This window comes from Homo sapiens, chromosome 3 (assembly GCF_000001405.40).
Source record: "Homo sapiens chromosome 3, GRCh38.p14 Primary Assembly".
NCBI classification, from domain to species: domain Eukaryota; kingdom Metazoa; phylum Chordata; class Mammalia; order Primates; family Hominidae; genus Homo; species Homo sapiens.
The window spans coordinates 97834179-97847173 of record NC_000003.12 but is presented as its reverse complement, the minus strand read 5'-3'; the positions used below and the strand labels follow the sequence as shown (position 1 = coordinate 97847173).

General features: G+C 37.6%; 1 protein-coding gene and 1 long non-coding RNA gene across 6 annotated transcripts in view; one reads left to right on the top strand and one right to left on the bottom strand.

Annotated features, from left to right (window-relative positions):
• Positions 1-10180, top strand: part of LOC105373994 (uncharacterized) — a 36261-nt gene extending 26081 nt beyond the window's left edge. For all 3 annotated transcript variants that reach the window (XR_007095970.1, XR_007095971.1, XR_001740811.2), the window contains 2 exons: positions 6477-6518; positions 10092-10180. This is a non-coding gene — a long non-coding RNA (uncharacterized LOC105373994). The remainder of the gene's footprint in view (positions 1-6476; positions 6519-10091) is intronic.
• The window catches only part of CRYBG3 (crystallin beta-gamma domain containing 3), a 122974-nt gene that overhangs the window by 97811 nt on the left and 12168 nt on the right, over positions 1-12995 (bottom strand). For 2 of the 3 annotated variants that reach the window (NM_153605.4, XM_047447439.1), the window contains exon 2: positions 3913-3979. The exons of the other annotated variant lie outside the window; for it this stretch is intronic. In NM_153605.4, coding sequence (NP_705833.3) covers positions 3913-3979 — 67 coding nt within the window. The remainder of the gene's footprint in view (positions 1-3912; positions 3980-12995) is intronic. 3 annotated transcript variants of the gene reach the window in all.

Below are 12995 nucleotides of genomic sequence, written 5' to 3'. Positions count from 1 at the left end.
TGGTGGGAGGTGTCTGGGTCATGGGGGCAGAACCCTCATGGATGGCTTTGTGGTGTCCTTGCAATAGTGAGTGAGTTCTCGTGAGATCTGGTTGTTTAGAAGTGTGTGGCAGCTTTCCCCTCTCTCTTGCTCCTGCTCTTGCTATGTGACATGTCTGCTCCTTCTTTGCCTTCTGCTATGATTTCCACCAAAGCCGAGCAGATGTTGGTGCCATGCTTTATGTAAAGCCTGCAGAACTGTAAGCCAATGAAACGCCTTTTCTTTATAAATTACCCAGTCTCAGGTATTTTTTTATAGCAATGCAAAAACAGCTGAATATAGCAGGCAAGAGATTTCAGAAAAGGTTTAGAAGGCAAAAGCAGACAGAGGCAGAGAAAGCTTCTACCTAAGTGACTGCAAAAAGGGACTCTGAACCTAACAATCATCCCATAGGCAATCTGAAATGACTTAGGATTTGAAGACACTAGGAACCACTTAAGGCAGTGTCAGACATGGGATTAAAACTAAGAGTTTGCTTGAAAATCTTCAAATAGAGAAGTTGAGCCCAAGGGCTCTTCCTTCACCCAAACAGTAAGACAATCCTCCCTACTTTCCACCACTAACACTCCCAAGAAAAAATAAAAACAAAAAAACTGAAAAAACATCTCCGAAGATATTAAGGCTTTTGGAGAAACTGAATTTGAGATCAAAGGAACATCCACAGGGAAATGTCTGGAACATTGATAATCAAGTCTGGAGCTCTAGATGGATGTCACGTAAAGACACAGGAGCCAAAAGATGAACCAAAGGATCGGAAGATATTACTTCAGAGGACTGACACTGAGGAGAACTGAAGATTTTGAGAAACATCTTCATGAAAAAGTATTTAGCCAAAAGAAATCAGTGATGGAAACTGAAGGAAGTAGCCAGAGGTAGGGATGGGACCAAGAAAGGACAATATCACAGAAGCAAAGATAAACCAAAGAACATTTCTAAAAAGGAGAGAAAGACTTGAAAAAAAAGTGTTTCAACTGGTTAAATAGAATGAGAACTAGGGAAAGGTTACTGAATATGGTCAGCAAAAGGTCACTGGTGAACATGAATGTAACTGGTTTCATGGAATAGCTTTCATTCAATCAGCGACTACATACTGAGCATCCATGACACGTGCGCCAGACACAGTACCAGGCTTCCCATGTCAGAGGGAACTAAAAGAGAAACAGGAGTCCGAGCAGAAAGCATTAAGAACTGAACAATGCTTAAGACAGACTTTCATAAGGAATTTTGAGGTAAAAGGTAGGAGTAATGTAGAATAACAGACCAAAAGGAAAGGAAACCAGATTCACAAAAATAAAACAAAAACATTGTTTTTAATTTTATATATTTAAAGAGAAACACAGAGACCTGATGCAAATCAGAAGCCAGTGAAGATGGAGGGATAGTAGTAGTCAAGGCAAGGGCCAAGGAAAGGCAGTAAAGTAAGGACACCAATACCACTGCACATGTTGTAGTCAAGATGGGGGCTTGAGGGAATTTAGCCTTTCAAGGCAGAAAGGGATAAGTATTCATCTGACATAGGTAGAAGAGAGCAGGGCATAACACAAAGTAGATGTGAATGAAGCAAGAGTTTAAGGCTACAAGACAATGATCAAATGTGGACTAAATTTCCGGAAGCATCTCCAGCTAGATATAAAAACCTTATTAACATAAAATACATATTCCAGTAGAAAAATAGATGTAAATGTTAGAAGTAGCCGCCGATGTTAGTAAAATAGCAAAATTTGTGTAGCATGTAAGTGGTATTTTAAGAATAAAAAATTTAATGATGTCCAAAGTTAATATAAAATATAATCTCTAATTGTTTAAAAATACAGTTAATTTTTGTAGTTCAAACTTGTCTTGCAACCAACAATCTTTGACATCATCATTGGGTATCTCAAGGTCAAACACAAAAAGAAGACTATATAAGGTTATGTTTACATAAATCTGTTATGGTTCTGATCAACTGGGAAATGCTGCATATTTTTTCTCTTATCACAGAAAGCATTATAAAATTTATGTTACATTACCAAAATACATATTTGTTATGATGCCTGGTAGCAACAGTCCCTGAACAACTGGGTCTGTGCGGCTAGGTTGAAGAAATCCTACCAGTAGGTTCCAGAAGGTTTTTTAAAAAGTTACATGAGCCAAAATGCACAGGATACCCCAGAAAAAGTGCCACGGTATCCTTTCTATTACGGGATAACTGCAGTTTCTGTATATAAGTAAACTCATAGGCTTCAAATCACAAGAAAAACAGTTTCATGACTGCATGGTATTTACTTAGGGGCTTAGATGCCAAAATGAAATTATCCTCGGCACTCAAAATTAGATGTTAAGAATGGATGGAAAAGATTGTTAGCATAGAGGCCCAGCTATTCTATTTGCCAAATATATTTACTGAATCCACAAAGATGTAACTTTCAGAGCCTCTGCAGGTGGAAAACAGCACTACTGGAAATAAGAGGCTGAATTTATCCAAGTTTGGAGACTGAAGATTTATTTAGGTGAAAGTATAGCTAAAATAAGCCAGCAGGTATAGGCTAAATGGGGAAAGAAGCAGAGACTAAGAGAAGAAAAGGGAGCAAGGAAAGCAGGAAGGTTTGGTAAAGGGTGAGTACAGAGTCAACAAGGGATTAAGAGATGGAATGACAAAAGCTGATAACCAAAGAAACTTGGAAGTTTGAGATCTCAGAAGTAACAGCCTTCCTATGAAACAACACAAGGGCAAGTTTTATAGCATTAGAAGTAAAAGTCTTGAGTAGGGCAACTCAAGGCATGTAAAAACTGAAAAATCAGCAGCAGCTATAGAGCCCATACAATGGTAAACCAGCAGGCTGGGTAACAACTGATTGCAGAAGAGAAGTTAAGTGAGATACATGAAAAAACCACCAGAAGGAGGATTTAGTAGCCAGACTCACAAAGGAGTGAAGAAAGGAAAGCAAGGTGATCTTCATTTTTTCCTTTCAATAAGTATTTTTTTATTATAATGGAGAAGGCAGAAATAAAGAATTAAAACAACTTTGTCTTTATAATGTGTAATGTACTTGGGCATTATATAGTTTTTAAAAATATTAAAAAGTGCCCATATCAGTAATGAAGAATTGAAATAACTTTTCAGTCTTTCTACTGACCAAGCTAATTTATTCTGAAATCCCCAGAAGGTTCAAATTTTCTCCTTGACTGTCACAAATCATGTGAAAAGAAAGCAACTGGGACCAAAAGCCATGATTGTGGGATAGCTACCAAAACGTGATCACATACCTAGAAACTGGAAACATCAAATTTCTAGAAAACCGCTTATGAATAAAAAGAGAGATCAAAAGGTTTAGTGATTTTCAAGGATTTTCAACTACTCATGGAGAATCCCCTATGTAGGTGTGTAGCTTATCTACTTTTTGTGCTTGTCCTCTTAGAGAAGCCAAGAACGACATGCAAACTAACCAAACACACCTAACACAGAGCAATGATATGTAGAAACAGATTATTAACTTCAGCCCTCCAAAAGCACTATTGCTTTGCAACATTTCAGAAAACTCATAAATCCCAGAACTTCCTAGGAAAAAGAGACCATGGAGGTCATGTGATCTGACTTACAGATTAGCAAAGACACGAAGAAGTTAAATCCTCAGCTGAAGATCACACAGTTGGGTTAGTGGCAAAGCCAAGAACACCACTCTGTATACTCCCTTCTCAGAGCCTTTCCCCACCTGTCCAGACTCCCGTCCCACCTCCTGATGCAAGTGTCTGACAAAGTTGGGCTGGATTTCCACAAAAAGTAATTATACAGTGTTCTTTTTGAAATGTAAAATAAGATGACAGAATCTAAAAGAATTAACAGCAATTTAAGATATTTGCTTGATATAAAATAATATTAATTTAAAACTATACCTTTACTGCTTCTGATGAAAGTACATTTTCCTTTTTCTGACTTGTGCTCATGGGCTCATTTTCAACACTGAAAAATAAAAACCACAGTTTCTTTTGAAATTAAAAGAAAATTACGAAACTAAAAGTTTTCTGTATTTAAACTCAAACTGAAAGGTCCTTTATCTGCAATGCTCAAAGATTGATACACCATGTTATACCAAGGATATATTGATTTGAATCTCTAAATTCAAAAAATGCATTCAAAAATGTTCATCTAGTCTTCAGATATTTGTGTGAACTCATTGTGCCTCATATTTTCTTACACAGATAATCAACATCACAGTAATGATATATCTGAACAAAAGAGCACCTGTGTATTACTTTCATAACACTGGCAAGTGCTAGCACTCTAAGATATTATTTATGTGAAGGTTCCCCATAGCCAGATCTTTTTTTAATGCCCATGCTGGGTGTTATTTGGAACAGAATGCATTTCTATTCAGCAAATCACTATAAACATATAGGTCCATCTAGTGAATTCTGGGAATACTCAAAAATAGATGTAGGTTTATCTAGCCCCAAACGTATTCCAGATGGCACCTTAAAATCTGATTTCCCAAATAGTTACTTCTAACTGTCTTTAGTCTGGAATACCTCCTCAGATGCCTTTTGGGATGTCATTATAAACTACTTTCCCAAGACACATTTAAGATTTTTTTTTTCTTTTTTAGAGATGGTCTTGTTCTGTTGCCCAGGCTGGAGTGCAGTGGTGCAATCATAGCTCATTGCAGCCTCTTGGGCTCAAGCAATCCTCCTGGCTCACCCTCCTAAGTATCCAGGACTACAGGTGCATGCTACCATGCCCAGTTATTTCATTTTTTGTAGAGATGGGGGTCTCAACTATGTTGCCCAGGCTGGTCTTGAACTCCTGGCCTTAAGTGATCCTCTAAACTTGGCCTTTCAAAGTGCTGGGATTACAGGCAGGAGTCACTACGCCCAGCTTCCAGAACTAAATATTTATATCTCTGTTCAAACATTATCCTGTTTTCATACTTTCATAATACTAGACAAATTAAGTAGCTTCACTCTAAAGATGACTGACTCTCTACCATATGCCAAGGATTCTGCTTAGCCTTAAGGATATAAAAATGAGCACGTCAGGTTCTTTGCAAAACTCAGTCTAGTTAGAGAGACTAATACATAAACCTTAACAATACAGTTTCATAAGAGTTATAACTGCTAAATGAACAAAATGCTACGAAGCATAAAAGAAATAAGGAGCAACCAATTCTGCCTACTCAGTAAAGTACCCTCAGAGGAGGTGCAAAAGCAGGTGGTAATAGAGAATCGGGCATTTTCTGAAAACCAAATTTTATTTGTTTGCTTTTAATATAAGTCTGGAGCACAGAGCTTGCGAAGGACAGAGGTAATCCTCCAAGGGATGAGACTGAGACCAAAAATTAGTGAATACCAGACTATGAAGACCAGGGCTGACCCGTTATGAAATTTGACCTTTGTCCTACATGCAGTGGGAAGTCTTCAAGGAGGGGACAAGCGTAAGCAGGAGGATGACTGAGAGTGGGCCAGATGTCGAATAGTGGTCACTGGTGGTGGAAGGCCCGGAGAGGAGGAAGTATCAATAGCTCTGATCAAATAAAGGCTGTCCCAAAGCGGATCAGATGGAAAGAGAGGACACGATTTATGCCATTTAGATTTTCTATCCATAAAAGTCTATGTTATTACGCACAGTATCCAAGAAACAAATGGTCATGGTCAAAAAATGGAAACAAAAAATAAATCATGAACACCTGGAAAATACAATGGATTAAAATGTCATTAAGTCCAAGACTCCATGCAGAAACACATGGACCAAACGGATACCGCTAAACAGATCCTTAAAGCTTCTAAATGTCAACAGAAAAAGAATATACATATATATATGCATATATACATATATATATGCGTATATACACATATATATACATATAGGTGTACGCACCTATATGTACATATATGTGTATACACATATATACATATATGTATATACACACATATATACATATACATATATACATATATACATATATACACACATATATGAGCTGTGTGTTAAACACATAAAAAATTCTGTGGGACAATTCAGGAACAAAATCAGGAATAAAACAATAGAAAATATTGTACAATACAGAATTGTAACCCGTACAAATGTATAAAATAAGAATTTCTCATAATTGCTTCTTTAAAAGTGAATAAATTCTTATCTCTTTTTTTCTATTTTACTAGTCTTTATCTTTTGCCAAAAGGCTGTTTACAATTCAGTTTTTTTTAAAGTAAACGTGAATTGATTTTGGTCTATTTAAGCTCAAATTAACAAAAACAAACTGGCAAATACATGTAAAAAGATCATGTTATAAAGATTTGGGGTATAATTAAGAATAATGCTGACCTTGACAAGTGAATTCTCTAACTACAATCTATTTTGAATGATCTACCTAAAAACTACTTAAACATACAACATCTAATTTTAGTCTCCTAGTTCATGCTTCAAGATTGCTGAAATTCTGCTTTATTTGGTGTGTTTACAGGGTTTTCTATAAACATACTGCCTAAGACTGTAAATGAAAACGGTAAGTTTCTTTTCTAATATAAAAGCTCTCCAGAAAATACAGCTAAGTTCATGAGATTATGGCAGAACTCAGTCTTTTCAAATAGCTGTAATTACTTCCAAATACAAACTACAAACACACACACAAATTCCAGAAAAACACAGCAGTAAATCAGCACATTAAGTACTGAGCAAACAATGGAAGAATTTAAGTTAAAATCACCAAAAGAAATATTACTTGATATTTCTTAAAATTCTCACTTACATCCTTTAAGTTGCATGATTCTTATTGCTAAACCAAAATTTTAAAATGTGTTGAGTTTTAATGCAAACAACATATTTTAAAATTTTGGTTGACTGATAAAAATCATTCCTTTTATTAAAATTTCAACACTTTTCTACATGAAACATTCTTAGCATGGATAACATTATTCATGCCCTAACTCCTGATACAACTGTTACCCAGAACCACTTGACATTACTAGAATACACAAAAGTTTACACTCCTACAAATCACTTTATTCTGCTGCTTGCAACATCCTTCCCCACCCTAATCAACTCTAAATCCTTTACAGCTTAGTTCTGGTTTTACTTGTATTTTTTGTGCTCTCACTGCATGCAGCAATACCTCCCACATATTTGCCACTCTTTATCATTAACAGCTAGTTTTTCATCTTCCCAACGAGAATATAAACTTATTAATTCAGAAGATCCCAGAGCCTGGCACCCCGCCTGGCACCACGAACGCACTCAAATAGTTATTTGTTAGACAAATTTTAAAAAATAATCTATAACCAGGCCAGGTGCGGTGTGGCCTGTAATCCCAATACTTTGGGAGGCCAAGGCAGGCAGATGGCTTAAGATTAAGAGTTCGAGACCAGACAGGGCAACATGGCAACCTTGTCTTGACAAAAAAAAAAAAGGGGGCTGGGCATGGTGGTACGTGTTTGTAGTCCCAGCTATTCAGGACGCCACTGTACTCCACCTGGGTGATAGAGTGAGACCCTGTCTCAAAAGAAAAAAAAAAATCTATAACCATATTTCCATTTGCGCCTGCTTACCTTCATCAGAAAACACTGTTACATTGGGAACAATATAATTATAACATCAGTCTTTTTTTCTTAAGGAGGAGCATATAAGTCTCTTGAAAGAATATGCCAGCCATTCCTATCCTACAACATACTTCTCTAAAACCATTAAGTAGGGAGTGGAGCTGGTGGGAAAAAATTACTCAACAAGAACAAGGTCATTTTCAGTTGATTTAAAAATAAAACAAAACATTAAAAAATGAGAACACAGTAGCTACATATACTCAAAAACAGTGAATACTCAGATGTTTGCTTAGTACAAATATAAAATAAAATAAATAAAATAAAAAGGACTCAAAAGGCTTGGGGTGATATTTTCAGTCTCTTAAAAAATAAATACCAAGGAAAGAGAACCATGTTCACCTCAAGCTTCATGAGAGACCACAATCTGTTCCTATTGTTTGCTCACAATTTAACCCCCTTTGGGACCCAGGGTATTTCAATTAGGAATATTTTTAGAAAGCACACATTTTATTCATGGCAGGGGGTGAAGAGCAGAATTCAAAATCACATGTACGCACAAATAAAACCACCTTACATTTCTAAATAGCCTCATCTTAGCTAACAGAACTTTAAGAATCAATCTTTCAAAATAGCTCAAATATGAAGGTCAATGTAACATAAAAGCTCCTCATTTTTCAAGCAACTTTATTTGGACCATGGCTGAAAACGAATCCAACATACAGCCATTTAGCCTTTGTGTGACTCTGTGCCAGACAAAATATTTTTCATAAGCAATGGAAAAAAAAGGATCACTTTAACCTTCTAAATTTCAAATAATTTACATAAAGGAGAGCTCCTAACCTGTCACTTAAGAGATATTATTTTCTTAAAATTAAATTATAACAAGATTCCCTAACCAATAGCAGATAAGCAGTGGAAAACTGGGCCCAAGAACTCACTCACCCACTCAACAAACTAGCAGTGCACACATGTGTCAGGCACCGTTCTTGGTGCTGGGGGTTGCACAATGTACAAACCAGACAAGGTCCTTGCCCTCATTCTTTCAGAACTCATGTCTATATGCATCAGAATCACCTGAGGCATCTATGTTTCTCAAACAGATTTCTGGGCCCGACTGTCAAGGAATCCAATTGGAACGGGGCCCAGGAATCTATATTTTGAGCTACAAATCACCCTTTACCCCAGATTGTTCTAATGCAGGTGGCCCTCTGACCCCATTCTTGATAAACAATGGTCTGAGAGCCTCTCTATCTTTAGCTGACATCAACAACTGATAGCTGTAGAGGGAAGAAAAAAATCTGACCAGGAGAATCTCCACTTATTATTTAAAGATGTTAAGTGTGGCTAAAGATTAGGTAACAATTATTTAGAAAACACTACCCATTTTCCAACACTGCCGTTCAGCAAAGCTTCTCGATCCAGAAAAGAGGTGTTGCCCTAATGAGCACATACAGCACTGAAAGTACAGGGTGGGACCTGGAAGGAAAAAAATCCCCTTTTTTCAGTCCATACCACAGACTGGAGCACAAGGGAAGCTTCTGGGCCTCTTTCAGAGTCAATTTCTCATGAGGTAAGAAAGCACCTTCTTGGATGGCCACAGGACAGACTCACAGAAACAAAGGGTACACTCAGTGGAGAGGGGTGAGGCACAGTAAGGGAGAGTAAAGCTCTCCTCCCCTCCTGTAATGCACCTGTTGGGCACCTCCTCCTCCTATGCCTTTCTTTCATACATAACTGTGACTGCATCAGGGAAATCTGGAAATGGTAAAGACTTGATACAGCTTCCATAAGCGTCTTCTAGAGGCTTGCTTACCTCTTTATGGATGCCAGAGTCTATGAATTCTTGCCATTTCGAGAGAGGAAGCGATCTTTGGTGCTAATGCCATCACTGGCAGCAATTCAGAGTACCCCCAAATATGAGGTCACTTAACATAAAGTATTCCCTAATTTGGGAATGCCCTTACATCTAAACAGCACACCCCAACCCTCTGTCCACAGGGACATTTCTCCACTTCCAGAGCCAATTTACCTTCTCTCCTTTGTTTCCAACCCCGCTCAAAACTGATGCCGCCTGAAATTATCCTCCCACTTGAGATTTTCACTTCTACTACATGAGCTGTGGTCTACAGTAGAAGAATCAGCAATACTGTTGAGAACAGGGAAAAAGAATCAGGGCAAATCTCCCCATTAGTTTATCTTCCCCAACTACTGTAAAACTTGCTGGTTCCAGAAGCCTGGTCCACTCACCAGCACCTCCCCTTCTACCTCAGCTTCATTAGGCCTTTCCTTCCTGGCATGTTCCTCCTCACCACAGAGCCCACCTGACCCAACTCCCGTGATGAAGTCCTAAAAGTAACCAGAATCTATCCTTCCCTTAAAATGTGATCAAATAATACCCCAGTCTTCCAGGTGAGACTTTCCCTTGGATTAAATGAAAAATAATGCAGAACAAGATGAGATCTTTACCTATCCACTCCCTCTCCCACTGTCATAAGTAGTAAAATGCTTTGCAACAACTCAGAATGAACTTTTGTCTGTTTCAGAGACAGCACCTTGAGGACAAAATGCACTTCAGTCAAAATGAACGTTTTTGGATCTGATTTTACAACTATGTAAATTAAAAAGGTTCAGACCAGCTGATATGAGATCTCTGTCAGATCTAAAATCCCACATTGCTGTGTTCTACAACAGAAGAATGAGTGGGAAAAAAAACAGGTAGACCAACCTTGAGGCTTTTCTGGTAAAAGATGAGAAAGACTATGGCCAAGAAACCAACTTAGACCAAAACTAGTATGAGGGCATTATAACAAAGAGGCAGAAATGTCTACCGTCCCTTATTTCAAAATTACTGAGGCTCGCTCTGGGCCTGCCCTCTATTCCCTCAGATTCCACCTCTCAGCCCTCCTTTAGGCCCTTAAATACAGCAAGGACTTCATCCTCACACCCTCCCAAAGGGTCTGCTCAAGCCATGGGATCTACATTACCCTTGGGATATTTTTCTTAGAAACACAGCCTCACGTGACAAGTTCTATAATTTTCTTTGCTCAAAGCTATACTGCAGATACATTATGGATTAAATTGACTTTCGTGCACTGGCCTGGAGTCCCATCCGGCAGGTCCAATGCTATGGGGAAAAAGACAGAGTTCCACACCAATGATTTCCAAACCACCATCTGGAAAACTGTCCATTCACAAATGGTGTCTGCCAGCAGAAGAGTGGTACTTGTATTTTTTTTAATGGCTATTAACGGAATATAAAACAGGTGGTTATGGCACTATTTCTGGGCTTCAAATTAAAAGGTAACTAAAAGCTGCAATTTTAAGGCACTCAAACAGTATGTATTTTAGCCCAAACATCTGGCAGTTGAATGATTTCAAAACTCTAGAGAAAAATCAGGAGGAGAGAGGAAAGGTAGGCATGATTATGAGGCTCTGTTGCTTCACAGTCTGAGACTTCTGACACTCCTTTTCTCTATAAGGTCAGTCCTCTCCTATAATTTATGTATCTACCTTGAGGCTGACTTATTTCCTGTTCCCCAACTCACGCCCCCAAAATAAGACCCATAATTACAGTTAAATCACAGGCTGCAGAGTGAGAATCTCAGTACGTCTGAGGTGTGCCTGAGCTGTCTACAGTACATGTGTTGTGAATGACTGTTCCATTCTCCCCAAGTTCTCCGTCCACCTCATAACCTTCAGATTCTGAATGTTTGACTCACCCCCACAAGATTCAATACCCTGAATCCCTCGCTGTGATGTGAACTCACAACAGTATTTTAGCTGCTTTCTAAAATGGAGCATTCATTCACATATCATTCAACAAATTGTCCTGAAGACAGCGCACTGGAGACCCAAGACTGTGCCCTCACAGAGCTCCCCAGAATCTGACCTTGGCTGACCTCCCCCCCAACTGAAATCCTTCCTCCTCTGTAAATTCTTCCAGACACAGATAAACAGATAATATATGTGTGGATATAAAAACACATTTACACACACATATAAACACATGCCCAGTGATACTTTCCAAAAGTAAACTCATCATTTCATTTCAACTCCTTACTATGAACTAACACCATGTTACTAACACCCACTCCTCCTCTAATTCTGTGTCTCTGTCCACACTGGCATCTGTGCCACATGATTGTGCCCCAGGACCTTCTAAGTGAATGTTCCTTCTGCCCAGAAAGTTCTTTCCTCAGACTTGCTCATGCCCAACTCCCGGATATCATCTGGGTCTTTGCTCAAATGCTACCCAATAGAGACACCTTTCATATCCACCCTACCTAGACTCACCACTTCCATTATGGTGAGTCCCTCCCCATTTTATTTTTACTTCAAAGCATATTATATATTAATCTATATATTTTCTGCCCTCCCCATTAGAATACAACCCTATGTAAGTAGAGACACATTTAGACATGCAAACAAGATTCTGAAAAGTGATGACACGACTAAGTTGTTCTAATAATTATATTTTAAATTATTTTTACAACATATAAATATACGCATTATTGTCAGAAATGTTAGAGCACTATTGTTAAGTGAAAAAAATTCAAGTTCCAAACTCTTGAAGAAGAACTTTTACTTTTATAAAAATATTTAGACATGAAGACATATTTAGACACACCCATAGGGAATCATTTGAAAGAATGATATATGTTTCTGAGTGGGTAGGGTTATGAGTGTGCTTTTGCTTTTTCGTCCTCTTATAATTTTATACCTGTTTTGTAAAAGCAAATATTACTATCAAAAAGAGAAAAAATACAAAGTAGCATAGTTGATGAAAAAGAAAGCAAAAACAAGTGAGTGCAAAAAATGCAAGCAATTAAATAACAAAATACGAATACTGCAAATATTACCTAATGTTAATTCCTTTGCATCATAATATATGCAACATTGCCAAAAATTTTTTATTTGCCTACTTAGAACAATGAAACACCATAATTACAGTTCACATTTTCAGCTTTTACTGATAAAAAGCACAATGCCATCCTTCCATCCTGTGAATGCTCCTTTGTGCTTTGACAAGACAATAAAAGGCAAGAGAGTTTACATCTCACCTAATTTGTCCCCAGTTATTAAAACATCAAATTCAAAACATTTCATTCTTTGTCATAAGAAGCATAGTAGTTACAAGAAATTTATGATCTGCCACTGAGGTAGAAACCACTTTTGTATACATTTTAATATGAAAGGTAAAAATTTCTACTATATCTTCTAAAAATTACATAAAACAAATATTGGTGAGACCACCCAAATACCATTTTCATGTCACTTCTGACATTGCCATTTGTATTGTTTGTCATAAAGAACATAGAAAATATTTTTCCTTAACTGTTTTCTATAACTGTACTAGGGTCCATCTTGGAATTCTGCCTATTACAATGGGTTATATTTTTGTGCCAACAGCTTACGTGAAATCAGCACTTATAAAGCATATCTGATTT